The sequence below is a fragment of the Homo sapiens genome, chromosome 2 (genome assembly GCF_000001405.40).
Source record: "Homo sapiens chromosome 2, GRCh38.p14 Primary Assembly".
Taxonomy (NCBI): domain Eukaryota; kingdom Metazoa; phylum Chordata; class Mammalia; order Primates; family Hominidae; genus Homo; species Homo sapiens.
In genome coordinates, this window is record NC_000002.12 from 33,547,431 (window position 1) to 33,570,737 (window position 23,307).

At 42.5% G+C, this 23,307-nt stretch overlaps 1 protein-coding gene and 1 long non-coding RNA gene across 17 annotated transcripts in view; one reads left to right on the forward strand and one right to left on the reverse strand.

Moving 5' to 3' along the window:
- RASGRP3 (RAS guanyl releasing protein 3) overlaps positions 1 to 17,301 on the forward strand; it is a 128,384-nt gene extending 111,083 nt beyond the window's left edge. For all 16 annotated transcript variants that reach the window (NM_001349975.2, NM_170672.3, NM_001349978.2 and 13 more), the window contains 5 exons: positions 2,174 to 2,321; positions 8,101 to 8,137; positions 10,781 to 10,906; positions 11,242 to 11,600; positions 15,299 to 17,301. In NM_001349975.2, coding sequence (NP_001336904.1) covers positions 2,174 to 2,321; positions 8,101 to 8,137; positions 10,781 to 10,906; positions 11,242 to 11,600; positions 15,299 to 15,307 — 679 coding nt within the window. In that variant the 3' untranslated portion in view covers positions 15,308 to 17,301. The remainder of the gene's footprint in view (positions 1 to 2,173; positions 2,322 to 8,100; positions 8,138 to 10,780; positions 10,907 to 11,241; positions 11,601 to 15,298) is intronic.
- Positions 7,615 to 22,000, reverse strand: RASGRP3-AS1 (RASGRP3 antisense RNA 1). The gene is made up of 4 exons (NR_146505.1): positions 19,606 to 22,000; positions 17,803 to 17,835; positions 16,048 to 16,115; positions 7,615 to 7,884 (listed from the first exon to the last, which is right to left on the reverse strand). It is a non-coding gene; the product is annotated as an RASGRP3 antisense RNA 1 (long non-coding RNA).
- Between the last annotated feature and the right edge of the window lie 1,307 nt (positions 22,001 to 23,307).

Below are 23,307 nucleotides of genomic sequence, written 5' to 3' on the forward strand. Positions count from 1 at the left end.
GCATAGGAGGTAAGAAAGGGATCTTAAGTTCTCAAGCCTGGGGGAAAATTGTGGCACAGCAAACAGTAATAGGGAAGCCTGGGCAGGGAGTACAGGGAAGAAAGAGATGAAGTTGGACTTAGATCCGTTGATTGAGACAGAGAGTGGATCATCAGGAAGAGAGGTCTAGCAAGTTGTCAAAGATGCAGTGCAAAAATTCAGGACAACAGTCAGGGCTGGAGATGGAGATTAAGTCTTCAGCCCCACTGTAAGCTGGAGTCTCGATCTTGTGAGCAAACTCTGGTGGGAACTCTTAGAGGGAGGTGAGCTCAGGGCCTGAGGAATGAGCCTTCAGGGACTCGCCTCCTACATGCAGGCATTGAAAGGAGTCAGAGGGCCCTGCAGGTGAGCTGGAGAAGGGGGAGCTGGAGAGGAAGGAGGAGAAGCGGGGTGGCATGCAATTCCAGGGTGCCTAAGGGGAGAGCGCCAAAAGAAGGAAACATGTCTCCGTGTTACCTCCTGCCAATGAGAAAAGGCCACTGAGGATGTTCTTGGTGACAGATTTGTAGGGTTAGAAAACCAAGTGGCATAAACAGTACCTGGAGGAAATGATAAAAGAACCTAAGGGTTTCTCTTTTTGAAAACTTCGGGAGTAAAAGAAGGTAGAGAGGGCTGGGCGCGGTGGCTCACGCCTGTAATCCCAGCACTTTGGGAGGCCGAGGCGGGCGGATCACAAGGTCAGGAGATCGAGACCATCTTGGCTAACACGGTGAAACCCCGTCTCTACTAAAAATACAAAAAATTAGCTGGGCGCAGTGGCGGGCGCCTGTAGTCCCAGCTACTCGGGAGGCTGAGGCAGGAGAATGGCGTGAACCTGGGAGGCGGAGCTTGCAGTGAGCCGAGATTGTGCCACTGCAATCCGGCCTAGGCTAAAGAGCGGGACTCCGTCTCAAAAAAAAAAAAAAAAAAAAAAAGAAGGTAGAAAGAAAAGACATCTGTTGGAGATGGCAGCAGGACTGAAGAAGGGGATTTTTCAGGTAGGAAAGTCCTGAGCGTATTTGTGAACGGAGGAAGAAACAGGGGAAGAGACTGAGCATAACCTGGAAGGAGGAGAGTCCCGGGGAGGCTGGAGAGTGCTGGATGGCACAACTCTTCCTCTGAGAGAGGACTCCCAAGAGAGGACATAGGAGGTAGAAAAGAATTCTGAACTGGAAAGGAAAGGTGTGATCGCCAGCAAATGCTAATGGACAAAGAAGCAAGATAGAGCTCACCTGTGTCAAGTGGATCCAATTATTATTATTATTATTATTTTTTGAGACAAGAGTCTCACTCTGTTGCCCAGGCTGGAGTGCAGTGGTGTGATCTCGGCTCACTGCAATCTCTGCCTCCGTGACTCAGCCTCCTGAGTAGCTGGGATTATAGGCACACACCACCACGTCCAGCTAATTTTTGTGTTTTTGGTAGAGATGGGGTCTCACCATGTTGGTCAGGCTGGTCTTGAACTCCTGACCTCAAGTGATCCGCCCACCTTGGCCTCCCAAAGTGCTAGGATTACAGGCATGAGCCACCGCACCTGGCCGATTTGATCATTTTTGATAAACAAGAAGTCAGCGTATGTGGTGAGTAGGGGTAGGAAGGTGGGAAGGACCAGAGGTTTGTTCTGTGTGGAGTAGATCTGGAAGAATTGCTCCCAGCCAGTCGCAGTGAATGGGCTATGAGCCACTAAGATATGAGTGAAAATATCACCAAGGAGCCCGGACAGCATCAAGCTGAATGAATTTGAGAATGGTCAGCCCAGTTATTACAGTTCTCTGCCTTTCTCCATCATCCTAATTCTTGCAACCTTACAGCTAGGCAAGGACTAGAAAGATGTCCTTCAGGAAGCTGCTTTTCATAATAAAGACTTTCTGTGCTGCGGTGCACAGGCCACATGTGTGCTTACATGAATATGCTCCTGCACACACACACACACACGCAGGATGCACACATACACAATTTTCTGCTTACTGAAAAAGGCTTTGAACACCTGAAGATGCCTTTTGAGGTTTGCTCCTTCTCTGAGATGTAATAGAGAAGTGAATGTGCCTCAACTGCTTTTGGCCACAAAGGTTTGGGAGGTGGGTGATTAAAGTGTGGCAACTACTTAGCAACCTGTTATTTAAAGATTCCCTCCCTTCTTTGATTCTCTTAACAGGGATGGCCTAATTAGTAAAGATGAAATGATGGCTTACTTCCTGAGAGCTAAATCCCAACTACACTGTAAAATGGGACCAGGATTTATCCATAATTTTCAGGAGATGACCTATCTCAAGCCAACCTTCTGCGAACACTGTGCGGGATTTGTAAGTCTGTTTTCCGTTGTTTTCTTATGTGTGTAGTTATTTGTGTGGCATTCTGAAAAAGTAGGAAAATGATACACTAAATAAAGTTCACTGTCTGCTTTGAATCAGAAGTAAAATGTGATGGCTCCCTGAAATTGAAGATTAAACACCAAAGGCAAGGTTTAGTTATTTTCTAGGAATGCAGGGCTAGCAAAAACAGGGAAGGCTGGTGAGGGCTGTTAACTCAAGAGAGTGGTTTTGTTTATTACTCCCTGCCAGGGAAAAGTGTCAGCCCAATGAGCCCTGGCATTCATCACTAATATTCATAAGTGGTTGCAATTAAGAGGTGCATTTATCTTAGCGAGTTCCTTCCAGTTTTCATTTCATGGGGTATTAGTGACCAGAAATCCGTCATGGCATGGTTCAATAATTCACAACTCAAAAAGGAAGAAAAAATCTTTTTGGAGAGAAGCTGGTTATAATAATAAATAACATTTACTCAATGCTTGACGGTAACAAAGTACTTCCATAGACATTATGGTAACTAATCCTCATAGCAAGCCCTTGAAGTGGGTATTTTACTTTCACCATCTTGCTTATGAAGATAGAGGTTCAAAGAGGATAACCCAGGTTCCCGAGGATTGCACAGCTAATCATTACCAGAGCTTGGACTCCGACACAGGTGTACTGACTGTCAGCCCTGTGCTTCACCTACACCACTGCAACAAATTAAGACTGCATGCTTCCTTCCCCCACCTTTGATAATTCTTTGGGAACCAAGGTCAGTTTTTGATCCTGGCCTTAACAGAAACTCCTGGGCCCTGAATGTCTCCAGTTGATAATCCAAGTTAAATAAAATGGGAAATGTGGTATTCCAGGTGAGGGAGGCCCAGCACCCAGAGGAGTATGACAATCGCCCCTTTTTCTAGATGCCAGAGCTCAGTCGTGTTAGCTTTATTTGGCAGCCATGTCCTCCTGTTGACTCGTTGACCCATATTGAATTTGTTGCCGATATTATACGCTACCAGAAATTACATTTTTCCCATCCCATGCTCAAAGAACTGGCTTTCAGGAGCCCAATGCAGGAGTCTGTGTTCAAGCACACACTCCTCTGAGAATGGGTAAATAAGAGGCAGCCGTTTCCTCAAAGACGGCCCCAGGTGGTCATAGCAGCTGATGTGACACAGGGGAAAGCCAGTCTAACTAGCTCTCTTTATTCACTGCAGAGAAGGTGAAGTTCTTCTTTAGTATCTCCACTGGGATTGCATGACCAGACCATTTTATCATAAAACAAATGGTTGGCCAGGCGCGGTGGCTCATGTGTGTAATCCCAGAAATTTGGAAGGCCAAGGCAAGCAGATCACCTGAGGTCAGAAGTTTGAGACCAACCTGGCCAACATGGTGAAAACCCGTCTCTACCAAAAATACAAAAATTAGCAGGGCATGGTGGCAGGTGCCTGTAATCCTAGCTTCTCAGGAGGCTGAGGCAGGAGAATCATTTGAACCTGGGAGGCAGAGGTTGCACTGGGCCAAGATCATGCCACTGCACTCCAGCCTGGGTGACAGAGCGAGACTCAGTCTCAAAACAAAACAAAATGGTCTCCTTTTTCATGTTTCTCTATTCTGATGGAAATTTTTGGAAATACCTAGACCTGAAAATTCTGATGTGGGATGGGGCCGTGCATAACACGCTCCTACAGAGTGGGACCCAGTAAACAAAAGGTCAGGCTGCTGGGCCATGGTATGGCTCAGCCAAAAGTCAGGATGATGCATCTGTCTTTTGGTGGGCTGTGAGAGTCAGAAGACCCTTATCAAATCTCAAGGTCCCGGGTGCTGTGGCATGGACCTGTAGTCCCAGGTACTCAGGAGGCTGAGGCAGGGGTATAGCTTGAGCCCAAGAGTTCAACTCCAGCCTGGGCAATATAAAGAGACACCTGCCACTGCCATCGCTAAATATAATAATAACAATAATAAAAAACTCGGCCAGGCACGGTGGCTCACGCCTATAATCCCAGCACTTTGGGAGGCCAAGGCGGGTGGATCATGAGCTCAGGAGATCGAGACCATCCTGGCTAACACGGTGAAACCCCGTCTCTACTAAAAATACAAAAAATTAGCAGGGTGTGGTGGTGGGCGCCTGCAGTCCCAGCTACTCAGGAGGCTGAGGCAGGAGAATGGCGTGAACCCGGGAGGCGGAGCTTGCAGCGAGCCAAGATGGCACCACTGCACTCCAGCCTGGGCGACAGAGCAAGACTCCATCTCAAAAACAAACAAACAAACAAACAAACAAACAAACAGAGAAACAAACTCAAGATCTTATCTCCGCTCTCTAGTCCTTCTGTCCTGCCCCTCCCTTTTACAGAGGCCCTGATTCTGTAGGAGCAGCAAGGTAGACTTTCTTGGAAGTTCCACACCTGTCTCCCTGACTCATTGGAGCAGACCTGCTGGTGCTACATTCTTGATGCAGCTGTGATGAAGTAGAAAGCTCTGGACCTGGAGTCTGGAACCCTGGGTTAAAGTTTTGCCCTTGCTAACTCTATGTCCTTGACCAAGTTATTCACCATCTTTGGGTCTATTTCTATCTGTAAAAGGGAGTTAATACTTACCCACCATGTTGTTGCATGATAAAATACTATTAGACACGTTGCACGTCACATGGCTCGGAGTACACATTTTTTATGTATTCCTTGATACTTTGAGAGTTTAATTGAAATTAACTCATTTAAAATTTTTACAGCTGTTTTTGTTTTTAAAATATATTTAATTTTATTGGTACGATTTGATTTGATCTTTACTGACACTCATGTCAAAAAGCCCATTGGTTTTCAAAGGAATTTATAACTATAGCTCTATAGATGTGTCATTGAAAGGAATTGTGGGAGAATGGTTCCAGTGCCGGAACCATCTGCTTTTAAAATAAATTCCATTTTAAGTTTAAGGAAGACAAACAGACTTGCTCTGCAGAAGATTTACTTTAGAATTAGAATTCCAGAACTGAAAGAGTGTTAGTAATTCCCTTATTTTGTAGATGAAGAAACTGAGGTCTGGAGAAGTTAAGTGACTTCCCCCAAGGTCACACAGATCATTAGCAGCAAAACCATGAGTCACACCCAGGTCTCCTGACTCTCAGTCCAGTGTGCCTTACACCACAATTACTCCAAATATGACAGCAGCCGGTGGTCTCAAATCAAAGGACTGTGGGAAATACTCCTGCATACCCATCCACATGAGTTCATCCTCTACTGTTCTTGGCAGGCACACTGACCCAGTGCCTCTTCCTAGCTACTGTTTGTTCCTGGCTATTAAGTAAGCATTAGCAAACCTACCTCCCCACCCCCACCCCCAGCACCCTTGCTTGACTGTATCTTTTTCAGCAGTTCCTGCAGCAATGCTAATAATGTAACATATCTGGATATTAGGATGTCTCTTCTTAAATCTTATCCTTTCTTGTCCCACCTCAGTGCCTTTGCTCACACAACAGTATGCAGGGGCAATGGCTTCCTGTCTTTCCCTCAAGTGACACATTCTTCTTTCCCTCACTAGCTATGAGACCTTGCCAAGGGACTTTACCTCTCTGTAGGTCAGTCTCCTCATCTGTAAAAATGAGAAAAATATTATTACCTACACCATAAGGACATCATGAGCAATTAAATAAGCTAATATGTATAAAGAGCCTAACTGTGCCTTTCACATAGCAAGAGTTCAAGAAATGTTAACTATCATCATTATTATTGCTATTATCATTACCAAGGGCTCCAGAGAAAGAATTTCCAGGTTGTGGGAGATTGCAAATTATCTAACTTCCTGGATCATCACATTCACCTTTTACAAAAGAGAAGCAAACTAGATTATCATAAAGATCAAGCTGTGATGATCCTGGCCACCACTGCCCTTTTCTGGATCATGCCCCTCTCTCTTCCAGCCATCCTTGCTTCTACTTAGTTGTCAGATAATCCTTCCTGTCCCTAAGACAAAATACTGCTCTGTCCTAGGAGACATTTGCATTTTATTTATTTATTATTATTATTTTTTCTTTGAGATAGAATCTCTCTCTGTCGCCTGCAGTGGCGCGATCTTGGCTCACTGCAACCTCTACCTCCTGGGTTCAAGTGATTCTCCTGCCTCAGTCTCCTGAATAGCTGGGACTATAGGCACACACCACCATGCCCAGCTAATTTTTGTATTTTTAGTAGTGACGGGGTTTCACCATGTTGGCCAGGATGGTCTTGATCTCTTGAGCTCATGATCCGCCCGCCTCGGCCTCCGAAAGTGCTGGGATTACAGGCGTGAGCCACCGCGCCCGGCTGACATTTGCATTTTAATATGTATTCTGAAGGACCAAATAGCTGTTAAGGCTCAAAGGAATCCTTGAGTTTTCTACTTGTGGAAGTTCCTTGTCAAAAAGAAGTAAGGAGCAGTCTTTGTATACTCTTGAGTCACTTCACATTGGCTGTGACTTACTCTTCTGGAAGAGCGGGCCATGCTGCCCACATGTGGGGGCATTGTTCACTTATAATACATTGTGAACATTGTGAACGGCACCCCCATCAGTCCCAGTGGGCCCTGCTTTTTCAACATTATTTTATTAAGTAGATAATAGCCACCTAACCCAAACACAAAGAGGTTAGCAATAGTTCTTCTCCAACTTGAGCTAAGCCCATTTAATTACCCATACTGTATGCCTCTGGTGAATCTGTCACCCCATGCAAGAGGTGTGGGGAGGCACAGAAGGGCATGGCAAGGCCCTCTTCTTTTTTTTTGAGATGGACTCTTGCTCTGTTGCCCAGGCTGGAGTGCAGTGGTGCGGTCTCAGCTCACTGCAAGCTCCGCCTCCTGAGTTCATGCCATTCTCCTGCCTCAGCCTCCCAAGTAGCTGGGACCACAGGCGCCCACCATCATGACCAGCTAATTTTTTTGTATTTTTAGTAGAGACGGGGTTTCACCATATTAGCCAGGATGGTCTCGATCTCCTGACCTCGTGATCTGCTCTTCTCGGCCTCCAAAAGTGCTGGGATTACAGGTGTGAGCCACCGCGCCTGGCCAGGCCCTCTTCTTTATGGTGTTTAGAAGGAGTCTGTCTGGAGAGCGAAGACACCACCACCAGGATGTCCCTGAACCCCCTGGGCAAACGCTCCCTCGTGGAACTGCAGGCCCTCACATCTCCCCTCAGGGATTTGTCACTTCCTACTTGTTAACCACGAGGATGTCACAGACTCCTTGCTTGGCAGAATCTGAGCTTTTTCGACATCTCCTACAACCCTGGCACAGGCCAAACATAGAGCAAATGTGGAGAATGAAGACATGAATAACTAAGATCATTTCCTCTTCTGTATTTTTCCACGGGACAAATACTACTCAGAAAATAGCCTAGCAAAATCCAAATGCTTTCACATGAGGTGCGCTTCTTCCATTGCTTCATTTCCTGTAGTGGGCGCTAAGAGCAGCTAGTGTCATTAAAAAGAGAGAGCCAGGGGCTCCCAAAGACCAAGTGGCCATCTCCTCTGTACATTTTGCTGAGAGCGCATCAGGCCAAAGTCTGGTGCATCAAACTTTAGTAGTTTCCCATCCCGGCTCCCAGTTGGCTCTGAGAAAGAAAAGGGAAAGGAAACTCATGTTATCACCACAGCTGGAAGGGGCCGGGAGAGGGTTCTTCTATCTGGCAGGAAGGGTGTTAAAAGTGGCTACATCCTGTTTGTGCCTGGCCAGTCCTGAAGCTTCCCAGGACTTCCTTTTCAGTGGCCTTGTTTTCCTTCCAGATCTATCCTCAGATTCCCTGACATTCCTTTGTCTTTTGTTACAGCTCTGGGGCATAATCAAGCAAGGATACAAATGCAAAGGTAAATCAATGTTATTTTGTTACAATTTTTAAAATGTGACATTTTGGGTAAGAATCAAATTTGTCTGGTTAAACTACAAAAGCTCTTGCCATTATTCGGAATTTCAGTCTTTTGGGTCAACGGCAACTGAGAATGATTGCCTCTGAGGAGGAGTTTCTGGAGTTTTGGAGAGCTAAAATTGGAATTTTATAGCTTGTTACAAACCACTCTTATCAACACACATAAATCTAGTTCTTTGGAATCAGCAGCATCCAGTTAAGGTGGGAATTCTGAGTGGGACAAGCCTAGCTAAAATACTGAATATAAGAACTTCTTCCTTCAAAGAAAAACACCTACACACTATTTCTCTAATGCACAGGCACTTCTTCCCACTCACACTTAGCTATTCCTTTCTCTACTAAATCACATAGATGGTGACAAAAAACGAGGAGAAAACTTAAAACGTAATTTTGTCCTTTTCAATGAATGCTTTCCTCTATCTTTCCCATTTAATTAAGTTTATAAACAATTGAATCAAATATATTTGACAAATGCAATATGCATGTATACTAAGCATTTAGGAATGTGTTGCTACTTGTACATATATGATCAAGTATACATTACTGTTGTTTAAGAAGTTGCTGGACACTTTATGTGGACAGTTTATATGGTTCTTCTAATAATCTTTTTTTTTTTTTTTTTTTTTTTTTTTGAGACGGAGTCTCGCTCTGTCGCCCAGGCCGGACTGCGGACTGCAGTGGCGCAATCTCGGCTCACTGCAAGCTCCGCTTCCCGGGTTCACGCCATTCTCCTGCCTCAGCCTCCCGAGTAGCTGGGACTACAGGCGCCCGCCACCGCGCCCGGCTAATTTTTTGTATTTTTAGTAGAGACGGGGTTTCACCTTGTTAGCCAGGATGGTCTCGATCTCCTGACCTCATGATCCACCCGCCTCGGCCTCCCAAAGTGCTGGGATTACAGGCGTGAGCCACCGCGCCCGGCCTCTTCTAATAATCTTATAAAGCTTTTGAAAAAATATAATAAAACTACAAAAAGAAACATCTTAATCACAGAATACCTTCAGATGAATGTTGTTCCCCAGGGATGCCTTTTTTCTCCAGTCGTTTTCCAGTATTTCGTCCTCATTTTGCATGAACAAAAAGCTTCCCAAATCTCAATGGAAGCCACTGTTTAGTGCTCAGAGGGACCTTCCCATTAGTGCTTCTCTATCACTTGCCTTGGTCTAACTTAGATTTTTACTTTCAAGCAGCAAAGATACTGCAAGATCTTATTGCCCAGCAGTGAGTCATTAGTTTTATTCTGGTTTCTATCCTCATACCCTAAAATACACACACACACACACACACACACACACACACACACACGCAATTTTATAAAGATGAAAATCTATTACACCTTTGGATTATCTCTTGTATTTTCTTAATGGCACATAAAGTGAAAAAAAAAATGAATTGAAATAGATTGAATACATCATTAAGACTATTTGAAACAAGGTCACTTAGGGGAAAATGGGTACTGGAAATAGTTAGAAAGGTCCTCCTTGATGGTAGGAGAGAAATGATCATCTCTATTCAATGATTCTCAGTGAAGTGCAGGACCCTCATCATAGGAAATAATTGTGAACCACCATCTGAAGTGGCCACATTTTTCTACCCCAAGTAGTAATTAACATTCTACTGTCTTATCTAAAACATCCTAATGGGCAATTCACAGACTCTGCTGCACGCTGTTTCAAAGCCATAAGCAAATATAGAACATATTTACTGAGCATATGCCCATCTTGTGTTCTGTTGGAAGCAGAAGATATAATCACTGGCCCTGAAAGGTTTTGGAAAATGAAGAAGAGTAAAAAAATCCAGACAAGGCCGGGCACGGTGGCTCACGCCTGTAATCCCAGCACTTTGGGAGGCTGAGGTGGGTGGATCACGAGGTCAGGAGATCGAGACCATCCTGGCTAACATGGTGAAACCCCGTCTCTACTAAAAAATACAAAAAATTAGCCAGGTGTGGTGGCGGGCACCTGTAGTCCCAGCTACTCGGGAGGCTGAGGCAGGAGAATGGTGTGAACCCGGGAGGCGGAGCTTGCAGTGAGCCGAGATCCCGCCACTGCACTCCAGCCTGGGCAATAGAGCGAGACTCCATCTCGAAAAAAAAAAAAAAAATCCAGACAAGTGCTGAGTGGAGGAACACCTCACAGTAAATGATCAGAGGCAGTTGGCCTGGGAGAGACTAGAAGCTGAGGCTTCTTGCCCTAATGCTGGCATAGGCTCTCTTTGTGGGGATTCCGTCTAAGCCTGGGAAAGACTCTCAACCCCATTTGATTTGCATTTAGTTTTGGGCAAAGGCAACTGACCTCTCAGGCTGGACTCTATTTACTCCCTAGGCACAATTGCTCATTAGGTCCTCAATTGCATACAGAACCAAGCTGAGCAAATCTAAGAGAATTTTCGGAACCTCAGGAAGGCAAGTGCAGACCAATGGCCTCTTTCCAGATCCTAGACACACCCCATGGGCCTGAGCTCAACTCTGAAATTCAACACAGAAACTGGGGTGGGGGAGGGGAGGGCTGACAAATCAAGTGCCACCCTGGAAACTGAATCAACATCAGACACACTAATCATCTGCGACACCCTTGGAATTTTTCAGACTGTGGAGCCAATTGTCACAAACAGTGCAAAGACCTCCTGGTTCTGGCCTGCAGGAGATTTGCCCGGGCGCCCTCCTTGAGCAGTGGTCATGGGTCACTGCCTGGAAGCCCCTCGCTGCCCCCAGGTAATGCCCTCTGCTTTCTTTGCTGCCATGGTCTCTTTCTGCTTGCCTCCTCACACTTGGACCTCATTTAGGTTCTGGGTCTAAACCCGGTCAGTCACTCTAAACGCTAAGGCCTTCTTTAGGGTGAGCAGCAGTAGCTAAACCCTTGAATCATCCTTGCTTCTCTCTGCTTTCTAGTCTCAGGAATATGTAACTTGCCTGCGGCTAATTGAGTTCTGTCCCTTGTCGGTTCCTCTAGAATGTTGCATGCCAGACTCGTGCTGTTTGCACTAACCTTGATGCTTTGCTGTCAAGCAGTCAGATGTCAAATAATCACCACCCTTTTTCACTTCCAGCGCAGGATGAGGTGTTTGAGTTCCCTGGAGTCACTGCTGGACACAGGGATTTAGACAGCAGAGCCATCACACTGGTTACAGGCTCTTCTCGCAAGATCTCTGTGAGGCTACAGAGGGCCACCACCAGCCAGGCCACCCAGACTGAACCTGTCTGGTCAGAGGCTGGCTGGGGGGACTCGGGGTCCCACACCTTCCCTAAAATGAAATCCAAGTTCCATGACAAAGCAGCAAAGGACAAAGGCTTTGCCAAATGGGAAAATGAGAAGCCCAGGGTGCATGCTGGTGTGGATGTTGTAGACCGGGGCACGGAGTTTGAACTTGACCAGGATGAAGGAGAAGAGACCAGACAGGATGGTGAGGTAAGTGCTAGGTCAACCCACAAAGAAAACCAGAAGAAGGAGGCTGAAAGTGCTGAGATGAGCGTTACAGAGGGTCTGGGGGGCAGCCTGGTAGTTCTGAAAGCAGAATGGTTGGGAATGAAGACATGTATCACTTTTAGTCTTGCCACTGCCTAGCTATGTGACCCTGGACATATGTTTCTTCTTTATGGATCTCAGTATCATGATTTAAAAAAATTGAACGAGATCAAGTTCTGAAACCTATTGAAGGCTGTCATGTGTGCGTACTGAAATGATGCCCCAGAAACCCATGACTATATATCCAAAATACCAGTACACGATACAGATCAGCTTGGTTTTCCAAGCTAGAACCAGGGCCCAGACTCAAGAAAGGCAGTAGAAGCAAAAGACTTTTAGATAAAGGAGAATTGGAAACTTTTCATTCTGCTCAAAAGAAGCTTTTGACAGCATCATGGAAAAGGGGGTGGTGAGAATCAGAGATACGAGGCCCTTGAGGATCTCTAAACCAGGCTCTGCCTCCGCATGAGCAAAATCATGCAAAGCAAAGTAGGATGCAGATGGAATTTGTTAGAGTATGCTGACACAGAAATTGATTCAAGATGGAGTTAGATAAATTTATTAGTTAACAGTCTATAGTGTATTAAGAGAAAGGATTTGAGAAAATTGGCATGATATTCCTAACATTTAAAGCAATGTCATGGAGGACAGCCATTGCCACCCTGTCGAATTGTTCTCATAAACAGAATATTGGGTTAGGCAGAGATCCTACTGGATCAAGCCAGTGCTCTTTAGTCTTATGGGTGGTCCTCCACATTCCACTCTTCAGGAGACCTAAACACACGTCTCCATACATTTCCCATGATGAGAAAAACTCCAGTGACCTTTAGCCAGAAATTCCCCTAGTTCCTTCCTCACTGAAGGCAGTGCATAAGGAGGCCACCCATTATCTCTGGTCATACAAGGTTTATTGTAAGTTTCTGCTGAAACACTTTTTTTGTTTCTATAACATCCACTTTTAAAAACAGCTTTGAGATGTAATTCATATGCCATGAAACTGACCCATTTAAAAGTATGCAATTTAGTATACTTTCAGTATGCTTTTAGTATACTCACAAAGTTGTGCAACCATCACTACAATCTAATTTTAGAACATTTTCATTATTCCAAAAAGAAATCCTACACCCACGAGCAGTCATTCTCCCCCAACTCACCCCAGCCAACTAATTTATTTTCTGTCTCTATAGATTTGCAATGCCCACTTTATTTTTAACATTTCCCCCACTGATCATCTTGACAACTGTATCAGTCCTATCCCCCTACTTCTTTTACTGGCCTAGCACAGTTCAAGCTGGGAATATAAACGAGAATAAGAGAAAGATCATGATTAGGTGTCAACAGCTCTTAACCCGAGGTCTATTTAATGGCTTTAGGGTGTTCATGACAGTACTTTATACTCCGTGTAAAATATACATGGACATATGGTCACTTCTGGGAAGAGGAGTCCATGCATTAAACAAACAGATTCTCCTGGGGGGTATGTGATCCAAAAAAGCAAAGAATCATTGTGCAAGAAGATTTTCTGGATTCCCTGTCTAGTCACCCCATACACTAACTCAGCCTGCAGAGGCTGTTTCCGTGGGTGCTGTAGCTGCCCCTGGAATGTCAGAAAAAGAGCTTCTCCAGGTAGATGGTAGGACGCCTACCAGAGTGCTCAGGATGGCGCCCACCTTGTGGGCATCTCTGAATTCAGAGGAGAACCTGCTTTTGTTTAACAAATAGTGAAATTGGCCATGAGCTCATTACTATTGGCCTCTCACAGTTCAAGTTACTTAAAAACTGTGCTTCTGAGTTAGGAGAAATTCACAGCCTGTTGGGTGTAAGACAATCAAATAGGTAAGATATCCTGATCATTAATCTCTATAAGGAAATATAAACAAGTATCTGGGTTTTTAAAAAAATTTAATTTTGTTTCCTGGAAATTGAACTTTTATATTCAAATGCTCTCTTATCCTTTCTGTGTTCTTATCTCTTTTCTTTCTTTTTTTTTTTTCTTTGAGACGGAGTCTCACTCTGTCACCCAGGGTGGAGTGCAGTGGCACAATCTTAGCTCACTGCAACCTCTGCCTCCCAGGTTCAAGCGATTCTCCTGCCTCAGCCTCCCAAGTAGCTGGGACTGCAGGCATGTGCCACCATGCCCGGCTGATTTTTGCATTTTCAATAGAGACAGGGTTTCACCATGCTGGCCAGGCTGGTCCCAAACTCCTGACCTCAGGTATTCTACCTGCCTCAAACTCCCAAAGTGCTAGGATTACAGACGTAAGCCATCGCGCCCAGCTGTGTTTTTATCTCTTAAAGCACAGGGATGGTTCACTGACCACGAGTATTTAATTTCATCTGTGCTAATTAATGAAGGACGTATGCTCTTATATGAAATGCATATATATGGTATACAGTTCCAGTACCATTCAAATCAGTAACAAATGAGATGTTTGCTCTGTTTAGGGAATAAGGAAGAAGGGAAAAAAAATGACAAAATTATACCCAGCGGTTGAATATGTAGACAAAGGAGTTTGCAAATTTAAGATTTTTTTTTTTTCTGCCAGGCAAGACCAATAAATGGCATTAGGAGCACTGACCTACACATTTATTATTTAGTATCAGATGATGTTTGTGAGTCCTGTAGTTAAAGACTTTAGAACACAGAAAAGGTACGTGTGTTTGTAATCTGTGTATTTCCTCCAACGGAGTTCCAGGATTTACGCTCATTTTAAAATATAAGGGTACGAACATTTTCTGTGGCAGTGTATGTCATCTCCCCAATGACCACTACATGTCAGAACAGTTCAAGATTACTCTCTTGGCAGTAAGAATACATGTATTTCCTTTAAACTTCTTCTTTTGTTTTCCTTTATCTTCTACTAAATTAAATTTAGTCAACAAATACTTATCATAAAAGGGTTGGGAAATGCTGACTAAATAAAATGGAATATGTTTATGAATATATGTAATATACATAGTCATACATATGTACATATACATATGTAGATTTACAGATTTTCTCAGTGCCCTCTTGCACTAATTTACACTGTGGATTTCTAAGAGGGAAACCTTTTAACAAGGACCATTTCAAGGGACTAATGATTTGTGGTACACCCTTTAAGGTCAACATCCTAGTTGGACTCCATATTGGAGTCTTTAAGAGTTCATATGCTGGGTGAACTACATGATCTCTCTCTCTTTTTTTTTTTTTTTTTTCTGAGACAAGATCTCACTGTCCCCCTGGCAGGACTGCAGTGGTACAGTCATAGCTCACCACAGCCTCGAACTCCTGGGCTCAAGTGATCCTCCCATCTCAGCCTCCCAAGTAGCTGGGACTGCAGGCATATGCCACCATACCCAGCTGGTTTTTATTTATTTTTTTGTAGAGACGGGGTCTTGCTATATTTACCAGGCTGGTCTTGAACTCCTGGCCTCAAGTGATCCTCCCACCTCAGCCTCCCAAAGCTCTGGGATTATAGGTGTGAGCCACTGCACCCAGCTACCTACATGATCTCCTAATTCCCACTAAATCCTGAGACTACAAGGTACTGATCATTTCAGATGTTCCCTCAAAGTCATCTGAAAAACTGCTTTCTAGGAACACTCTTATTTTGTTATATGAGATCCAGCCATGCAATAGGTTCCAATTTGTGTTTCAGGATGGCTGACTTCAGGCTGCGGAAACTGAAGGCAATAATGTTGGCTTTTGGAAGGGGCAAGACGAGAAACTCTGAAGAAAGCTCTGACTCTCAGGAAGTTATCTGGAAAGATACCTGGATGTTTACTGCCTTGGGACACTGTGGGATCTCCATGTTTGGACTATGGGACAGAGAATTGACCCTAACTAACTAACTATGAACTATTTATTTCCTCCTCCCCTACCCCTAGTTAAGTGCCACAAAGACTGTGTTATGTAGTCAGTACTTTTTTCTCATGTATCTTTCTCTAGACCATTTATATACGGGTGAAATGAAAGCTTTTTTGCATGTACTTGATACTCAGTCTGTAAACTCAGACTTCGCTTTTTTTGTGAGACTATCCTTTCAATATTTTTATAAACTTTTGTGTGTGCTGTGGCAGGGAACAGTTAACAAGGAGTTTATTTAGAGGGGTTTTTTTCATTTTTTGTTTTTCTTGTTTTGTTTTGTTTTGTTTTGTTCTTCTTGGTGTGCTTTTTGGATGGGACCAGAACTTAACATTTTCCTGAGGACTAGGAAGCTCATCAGACACTGGAATGCAGTGATTCTTCTAATGATGGTCAACTGCAAGGAGAAACTGTTTACATCCTTCCCACTACACAGTTGCTATGATATGTAACAAGTCACACATGTATATATCACACAAGTCTTACCAATTCTGCGTCACTAGGAAGCTATAGCATGGTCGTGAAAGCTCTCCTAATACTTACTTAAATAGCCATGGAAGAAAATTATGCTTGTCCCTTCTGACTGGGTTAAGCCATCTTTCTTAAGATTCCTGAAGTAGAAATAGCAATTAAGAAATTAATTCAAGTTTTGACGGTTAACATTTAGCAGAAAAACAAACCATTGAATAAGCTACTAGGTGAAATGCAAAACAACCATCAATTTTTTTAAACTCAATAATTTTGTGAAAAAAAAAACCACCACCAAACTTTTGGTTGTAAAAGAGAACCCTTGTTCCCTTCCTAAGAAACTGCCTTCCACAATTAAAGAATACTCATAGAAAGAAAATAATCATAAATCATATTTGATTAACATTTCATTTAAGCTTTTAAAATATCAATTTTTTAAATAGCTCCCATTTACCCAAAATAACTAGTTATGGGTCTATTTCTTCCATGATTAGAGGAGAGAGAACTTGATTCAAGATACTGAAAAATAGAGCTGGGACTGAGCCTGTGAATGACAGGAATGATCTATTACCAGGTGACTAGTCGGAAACTACACAGACGTGCACTGGTCTGCATTTGGGGGCTAAAGTGTATATATTCCATTTAAAATGGAATTTGTTTGTATTTGGGGCAGTCTTCAGTAAAGCCTTTCTCCTTTCTTTTCTCCATTGAGGACAGTTCTGCTCAGCAAAATTGTTGAGTACCTGTTCTGGGCAGGTCCCACGCTATATGCACAAAGTTAAGAAAAACTTGGTCTTAGCCCTTGGGAGCTGACAGCCCATGGGCATTAAGGCAAAGTAGTTCCAGTGATTTAAAATACGGTTCCAAATACGCTAAAACCAACTTGTGCCAACCAGATTTACAGATTGGAAATACTGCAGATGATGTGAAGTTATCAGTTGGAGGAGCTGTGATTAAGCTGGATAATAAGAGAACGTGCCATCTGTAAAGCACTCAGAAGGCAGCCATCCCTAGATGTTGGTTTCATGTATATTACACTATCTACTACTATCCATAAATGCAATAATATGCATGTTAACAACATTAAAAACAGCAAACAGCAATCTAAGTACAGAAAAGCTTTTTGTGTGTTTAAAAAAATTGAAGAAAATTCAGGAAGAAACGTGTTAATAAACATTGTACTGTTCTTTTGCTTCTCAAAGGAATTATTCACTTGCCACTTTGGTTATTTTTGAGTTTTCGTACATAGGAAGTTTTATATTGCCAGCCTTCCTGTGATAAAGATATTAAATGTAACTTGAGTAAAAAATAAAAAAGAATAACTATGTATATACATATATAAATTACATATGGGCCTGTATATTGTGTGTGTATATACACAGTAAGTCCTCATTTGTCCATAGATTCTTGGAAACTGCTACTTTAACAACTTGAAGTTGGTCTTGAAACAACTATAACAAGACCAACTTTTTTTCTCATCAACGTTGTAATGAAAGGAAATTGAATGAAATTACCTTGTGGAGGACCAGTTTGAACACTTCATTTGACTTAAAGTTGCTATTTCCAAGAATCTACAGACCATGTTAAGTGAGGACTTACTTACTGTATACACACACACACACACACACACACACGCACACCCCCCTATTATTACTTTGCTGAAGACTAATTTAAGTCTATAACAAAACTGCCTTATAATTATGATTATATCATTTACTGACAACCAGTGACTCTGATGTTTCCAATCTATCAATTTCCCATCATCAGTAAAATAAAATAGGCAAATCCACGATGGGGCAAAAAGAACAATCACAATTGACTCCTCCTCACCTTCATTTTGTAGGTCTGATGATCACTGTCACCCTGAAAATTGAAAGGAAAAACAAAAGTAAACTCTTCTTAACAATGAAAATGAGGTATGAAGGCAGGATTTATTAAATGCTTCAATTGCATCTTCATTGGAGCATCTACAAATTGACTGATGCTTTCTCAGACCTGCCTAAACCATAGGAGCCATGATTGGTTATTTGAACCCTTGTGTTGAGTGGATATCCCTTGAAGCAATAATGTGCCCAGATTTTCATGGTAAGTTTCTACAATGGACAGAGGAGTTTGCATTTTAAAAATGAAGGCAGGACTTCTGCAGAAGAGAACGTCAAACTGTTATTGATGGTAGGAAGCTTAATTATTCCTAAGATAAATATGTGAATTTTGCCAAAATATATAAAGCTCTAGAATGACTGAGGAGATCAATTCAGTGAAACTGTACCACAAAAGTGTACCTTTAGCACGCAATTCCCAACCAGACTGAAATCTCATCTTGGCTGCTTACAGTCATGGAATCCTGGGCAAGTCAGGTACATCTATTTGAGCCCTCAATTTCTTCATTTGAAAAAAAGAGATTTCACCACCCTCTTCAACTACCTCATAGAGTTTTGGTAAAGATCAAGTCAGATAATATATGTAAAAGTATTTGTAAAGACCTTATGTTATTATTATTTTGCAATTAAGCAGGATTCTTCTCTAAAACTGTCTCAAGAGCCCAGATTTTCTCTATATTATATGGCTGTATATTTGGAGGCTCTAAACCCAATATTTAACTAAATTTTCTGTTAAAAAAAGATGTATGGTGGCTCATGCCTGTAATCCCAGCACTTTGGGAGGCCGAGGCGGGTAGATCACAAGGTCAGGAGATGGAGATCATCCTGGCTAACACGGTGAAACCCCGTCTGTAATAAAATACAAAAAAAAATTAGCCAGGCATGGTGGTGCACACCTGTAGTCCCAGCTATTTGGGAGGCTGAGGCAGGAGAATGGCGTGAACCCAGGAGGCAGAGCTCGCAGTGAGCTGAGATGGCGCCACTGCACTACAGCCTGGGCAAAAGAGCAAGACTCTGTCAAAAAAAAAAAAAAAAAAAAAGATTAAACAGAAGTATTAATGAAAATAGTCAAAAGAGATTTTCTTATTTCTGGCACTATGTGTGTGTAGGATTAGTTCTGGTTTGATTGTAACACTGACTAGTCTTGTCCTGTTTGAAAACAGGCCTGCAAGATTAAGAAACCAAATGAGTAAAATGTAAATGAGGTTAGAGAAAAATCCATATATTGGGTATACATAAATGGGATAAAATATAAATATATTCAAAAGGTTGCCTCTTAAAAAGAATTTATTAGTTTACACAGGGAGACAGGAGGAAAACCAACATTACTTTTTAAAATAAAAAGCATTTACTTGATAACTGGAATGTATTTTACAACTATTGAAGGTGGGTAAGTATAGGAAACTACTTGGCATTTAAGGCTTAATCAGGAAATGGCTTCCTCCTGGCTGCATCCAAAACCTGCTGGCCTAAGTCTAGAGAGCACTCAGACCTCAAACAAAAATGATTACTTTATCTTGTCTTTCAAAAATGTTACTAGCATATCACGTTGGAATTCATACCCATTCAGAATCTAAGTGACATGCAGTTTATCCACAGGAGCATGAAGAAGGAATTACTTGGAGTATTCTACAAAGCAACTGGCCTGAACACTTCAAAAATAAAATATCACGAACAGAAAAAGGAGGGAAAGGGCAATTTTGGATCAGAAAAGATTGAATGAAACACAACAGTGAAATGCGATGTTACAAACCTTGATTGGATTCTGGGTCAAATTTTGAAGAAAGCAGTGGCTCACGCCTATGGTCCCAGTGATTTGAGAGGCTGAGGCAGGAAGACTACTTAAACACCGGAGTTCAAGGCTGCAGCGAGCTATGATTGTACCACTGCACTCCAGCCTGGGCAACAGAGCGACACACTGTCTGGATTAAAAAAAAAAAAAAAAGAAAAGGAAAGTAAAGCAGGTATTTGGGGGACAACTGGAAAGATTTAAATATGGAGTATAGGCCGGGTGCGGTGGCTCATGCCTGTAATCCCAGCACTTTGGGAGGCCAAGGTGGGTGGATCACTAGAGGCCAGGAGTTCAAGACCAGCCTGGTCAACATGGTGAAACCCCATCTCTAGTAAAAATACAAAAATTAGCTAGGCATGGCAGCACGCACTTGTAATCCCAGTTACTCAGGAGGCTGAGGCAGGAGAATCGCTTGAACCCAGGAGGCAGAGGTTGCAAGTGAGCCAAGATCACACCACTGCACCCCAGCCTAGAGTGAGGCTTTGCCTCAAAACACACATACACACACACCAGGCGGCAGCAAATATCTTACACACACACGCACACGCACACACACCCGGCGGCAGCAAATATCCCGCTCAGAGAGAAGGGCACACTCTGAAGTGCAAATCCTCAATCTTCATTTACAACAGAAGAAACAAGGATATATTAGCTGGTGGCAGGAGCTTCCCGGGCCTGTTTGGTTCTGAGAAGCAGGAGAGCCAGGGCACACTGACAAGAAATATTTGCTAGAAGCAATCTGTCTCTGTGACAGCAGAATGCCAGAGGCTCTTTATGATGAAAAAAAACAAAAAATCCCATAGTTGCCAGTGCCCAGCAAGATGTTAAGACTAATTGAACTCACACTCAAAACCTAGGATAATAGAAATTTCACCTGGCCTGAACTCTACTCTGGTTCCTTCCCTACAGGAACTTCCCACAGATTTTGAATAAAAGCTCAAAATTAAAACAGAGGTAAAACCAAAACCAAGGGGATATGAGAAGAAAAAAAAAAAGGACAGTTAAACAGATGTCAGAAAACTCACCAGAAAACAAAATTGCTACAGAGCATATGAAAATTGTTTTTCCAAGAATTAAAGCTACTTAATGAATTCCTGACTCACAGAAATCATGGTAATAATAAATGTTTATTGTTTTATGTTATTAGGTATTAGGGTATTTTGCTACACAGCACACATGAATATAATATCCTACAAGGCAATTAAACCATAATCTTTGAGGTTATCTTCTCTACTAGACAGAAATAATTTACACCTCTACCCGATAAAAAATCTGTTGTATCTTACCCATTTTCTGGAAGTTAGAAACTGAGCCCTAATCCATAGTAAATAGTAAATGAAACAAAAATACATTCCTGTAAAGAAGGTTCCTATATCTCTGTACTATTGACATTTGGGGCCAGAGAATTCTTTGTTGGGAAGTGGGAAGGGGGCTGTCCTGTGCGCTGTAGGGTATTTAACAGCGTCCCTGGCTTCTGCCTTCTAGATACCATTAGCACTTCCTTTATAACCAAAAATGTCTTCAGACATTTCCAAATGTCCCCTAAGTGACAAAATTGCTACTGGCTGAGAACCACTGTCCATGCATCAGAGTCACCTGAAGGTTTGTTAAAGCACACATTGCTGGGCCTCATTCACAGTTTCTGATTCGGTTGGTCTGGGGTGGGGCCTGAGAACTTGCATTTCTAAGTTCCCAGGTGATGCTGGCGCTGATGATGCTAGTTGGGTACTGAACTTGAGAACTGCTTCTAGAAAGACAGATGGCTCTCAAGCAGGCTTGTCAGACACTGCTGCAGAATGACACCCGAGGACATACAGCCATCTTCTGCCTTATTTCCAGGTTTTAGGTCCCTTCTTTTTTTTTGCAATTCTTTCTAAAGAAGTGTAAGGTGAAGGCAATTCTACATAGTTATAAAGGTCCACATTACAGCAAAATTTTAATTCTTCCTAAATATCAGAGTAAATGCAAAAAACCAAAGCAAAGAGACTCTATACGAAAGTTAAAAGTTATAAAAACAGAAAACAGAACTTATATATAAGAGAACTAAGTTCAAACATCTGTTATATAAATGGGCTAAACTCACTTTTTTTTAAAGGGTACTCAGACTGATAACACCACCACCAAAAAACCCCAATTCTATGCTGTGCACAAGAGACCTGCTGTAAAGTGATTCAGGTGGCTGAAAACTTTTTTAAATGGGCAAATATATACCAAACAAACGCAAGCAGAAAGAAAACATTGATCATAAATATAGTATCACACAAAATTAAATTCAAGGCAAAAGGCACAAAAAAAGACTGGGCGCGGTGGCTCACGCCTGTAATCCCAGCACTTTGGCAGGCCGAGGCAGGCGGATCACCTGAGGTCGGGAGTTTGAGATCAGCCTGACCAACATGGAGAAACCCCATCTCTACTAAAAATACAAAATTAGCCAGGCAAGGTGGCGCATGCCTGTAATCCTAGCTACTGGGGAGGCCGAGGCAGGAGAATCACTTGAACCTGGGAGGTGGAGGTTGTGGTGAACTGAGATCGCGCCATGGCATTCCAGCCTGGGCAACAAGAGCAAAATTCTGTCTCAAAAAAAAAAAAAAAAAAAAGGCACAAAAATAGACAAAAATGGACCCAGCGCGGTGGCTCACACCTGTAATCCCAGCACTTCGGGAGGCCAAGGCAGGTGGATCACGAGGTCAGGAGATCGAGACCATCCTGGCTAACACGGTGAAACCCCGTCTGCACTAAAAATACAAAAAAATTAGCCAGGCGTGGTGGCAGGTGCCTGTAGTCCCAGCTACTCGGGAGGCTGAGGCAGGAGAATGGCGTGAACCCGGGAGGCAGAGCTTGCAGTGAGCCGAGACTGCGCCACTGCACTCCAGCCTGGGCGACAGAGCGAGAAACTCCGTCTCAAAAAAAAAAAGGAGACAAAAGTAGGCCCATTTTAATGCTAATGGATACAGATCACAATCAAAATATAATTATGAATATCTTTGTACCAAATTATAGAGCATCATCATTTACAGAACAAAAAGAATAGATGATTCAAAGATACACAGAAATATATTAGTGGTATAAAATATGTATTATCCTCTCACTCAGCTCATGATATAACCAAGTACCAAGTACACAAAAAATAAGGCGCTTAGACCTGTGCCATTCAACACGGTAACCACTAGGTACATGTGGCTAACGAGCACTTGAAATATGACTAGTCCAAATTGACAGGTGCCATAAGTACAAAATATGCCAGATTTCAAATAGCACAAAACAAAGAAGGTAAATAAGTTGTTAATAATTTTTTCTATTGATATATGTAAAATAATGGTTTTTATATAATGGGTTAAATAAAATTTCACTTTTAAAAAACTTCCTTAACACAGTTACTTTAAACTTGAAATTGAATGTGTGGCCTGTATTATATTTCAATTAAGACAGTGATGCTGCTCTAGAACTAATTAACAAGGTAGATCTAAATACTTACAACAGCTAAAACATATATAGTATTTATTCCATTCCAGACACTGTTCAAGATATTTTGCACATATTAATGCATTGAGTCCTCTCAACACCCTAAGAGGTAGATGCTATTATTATAGCCATTAGCCATTTTACGGATGAAGAAACTGAGGCACAGAGAAATGAAGTAATTTGCATAAGATCACAGTAGTG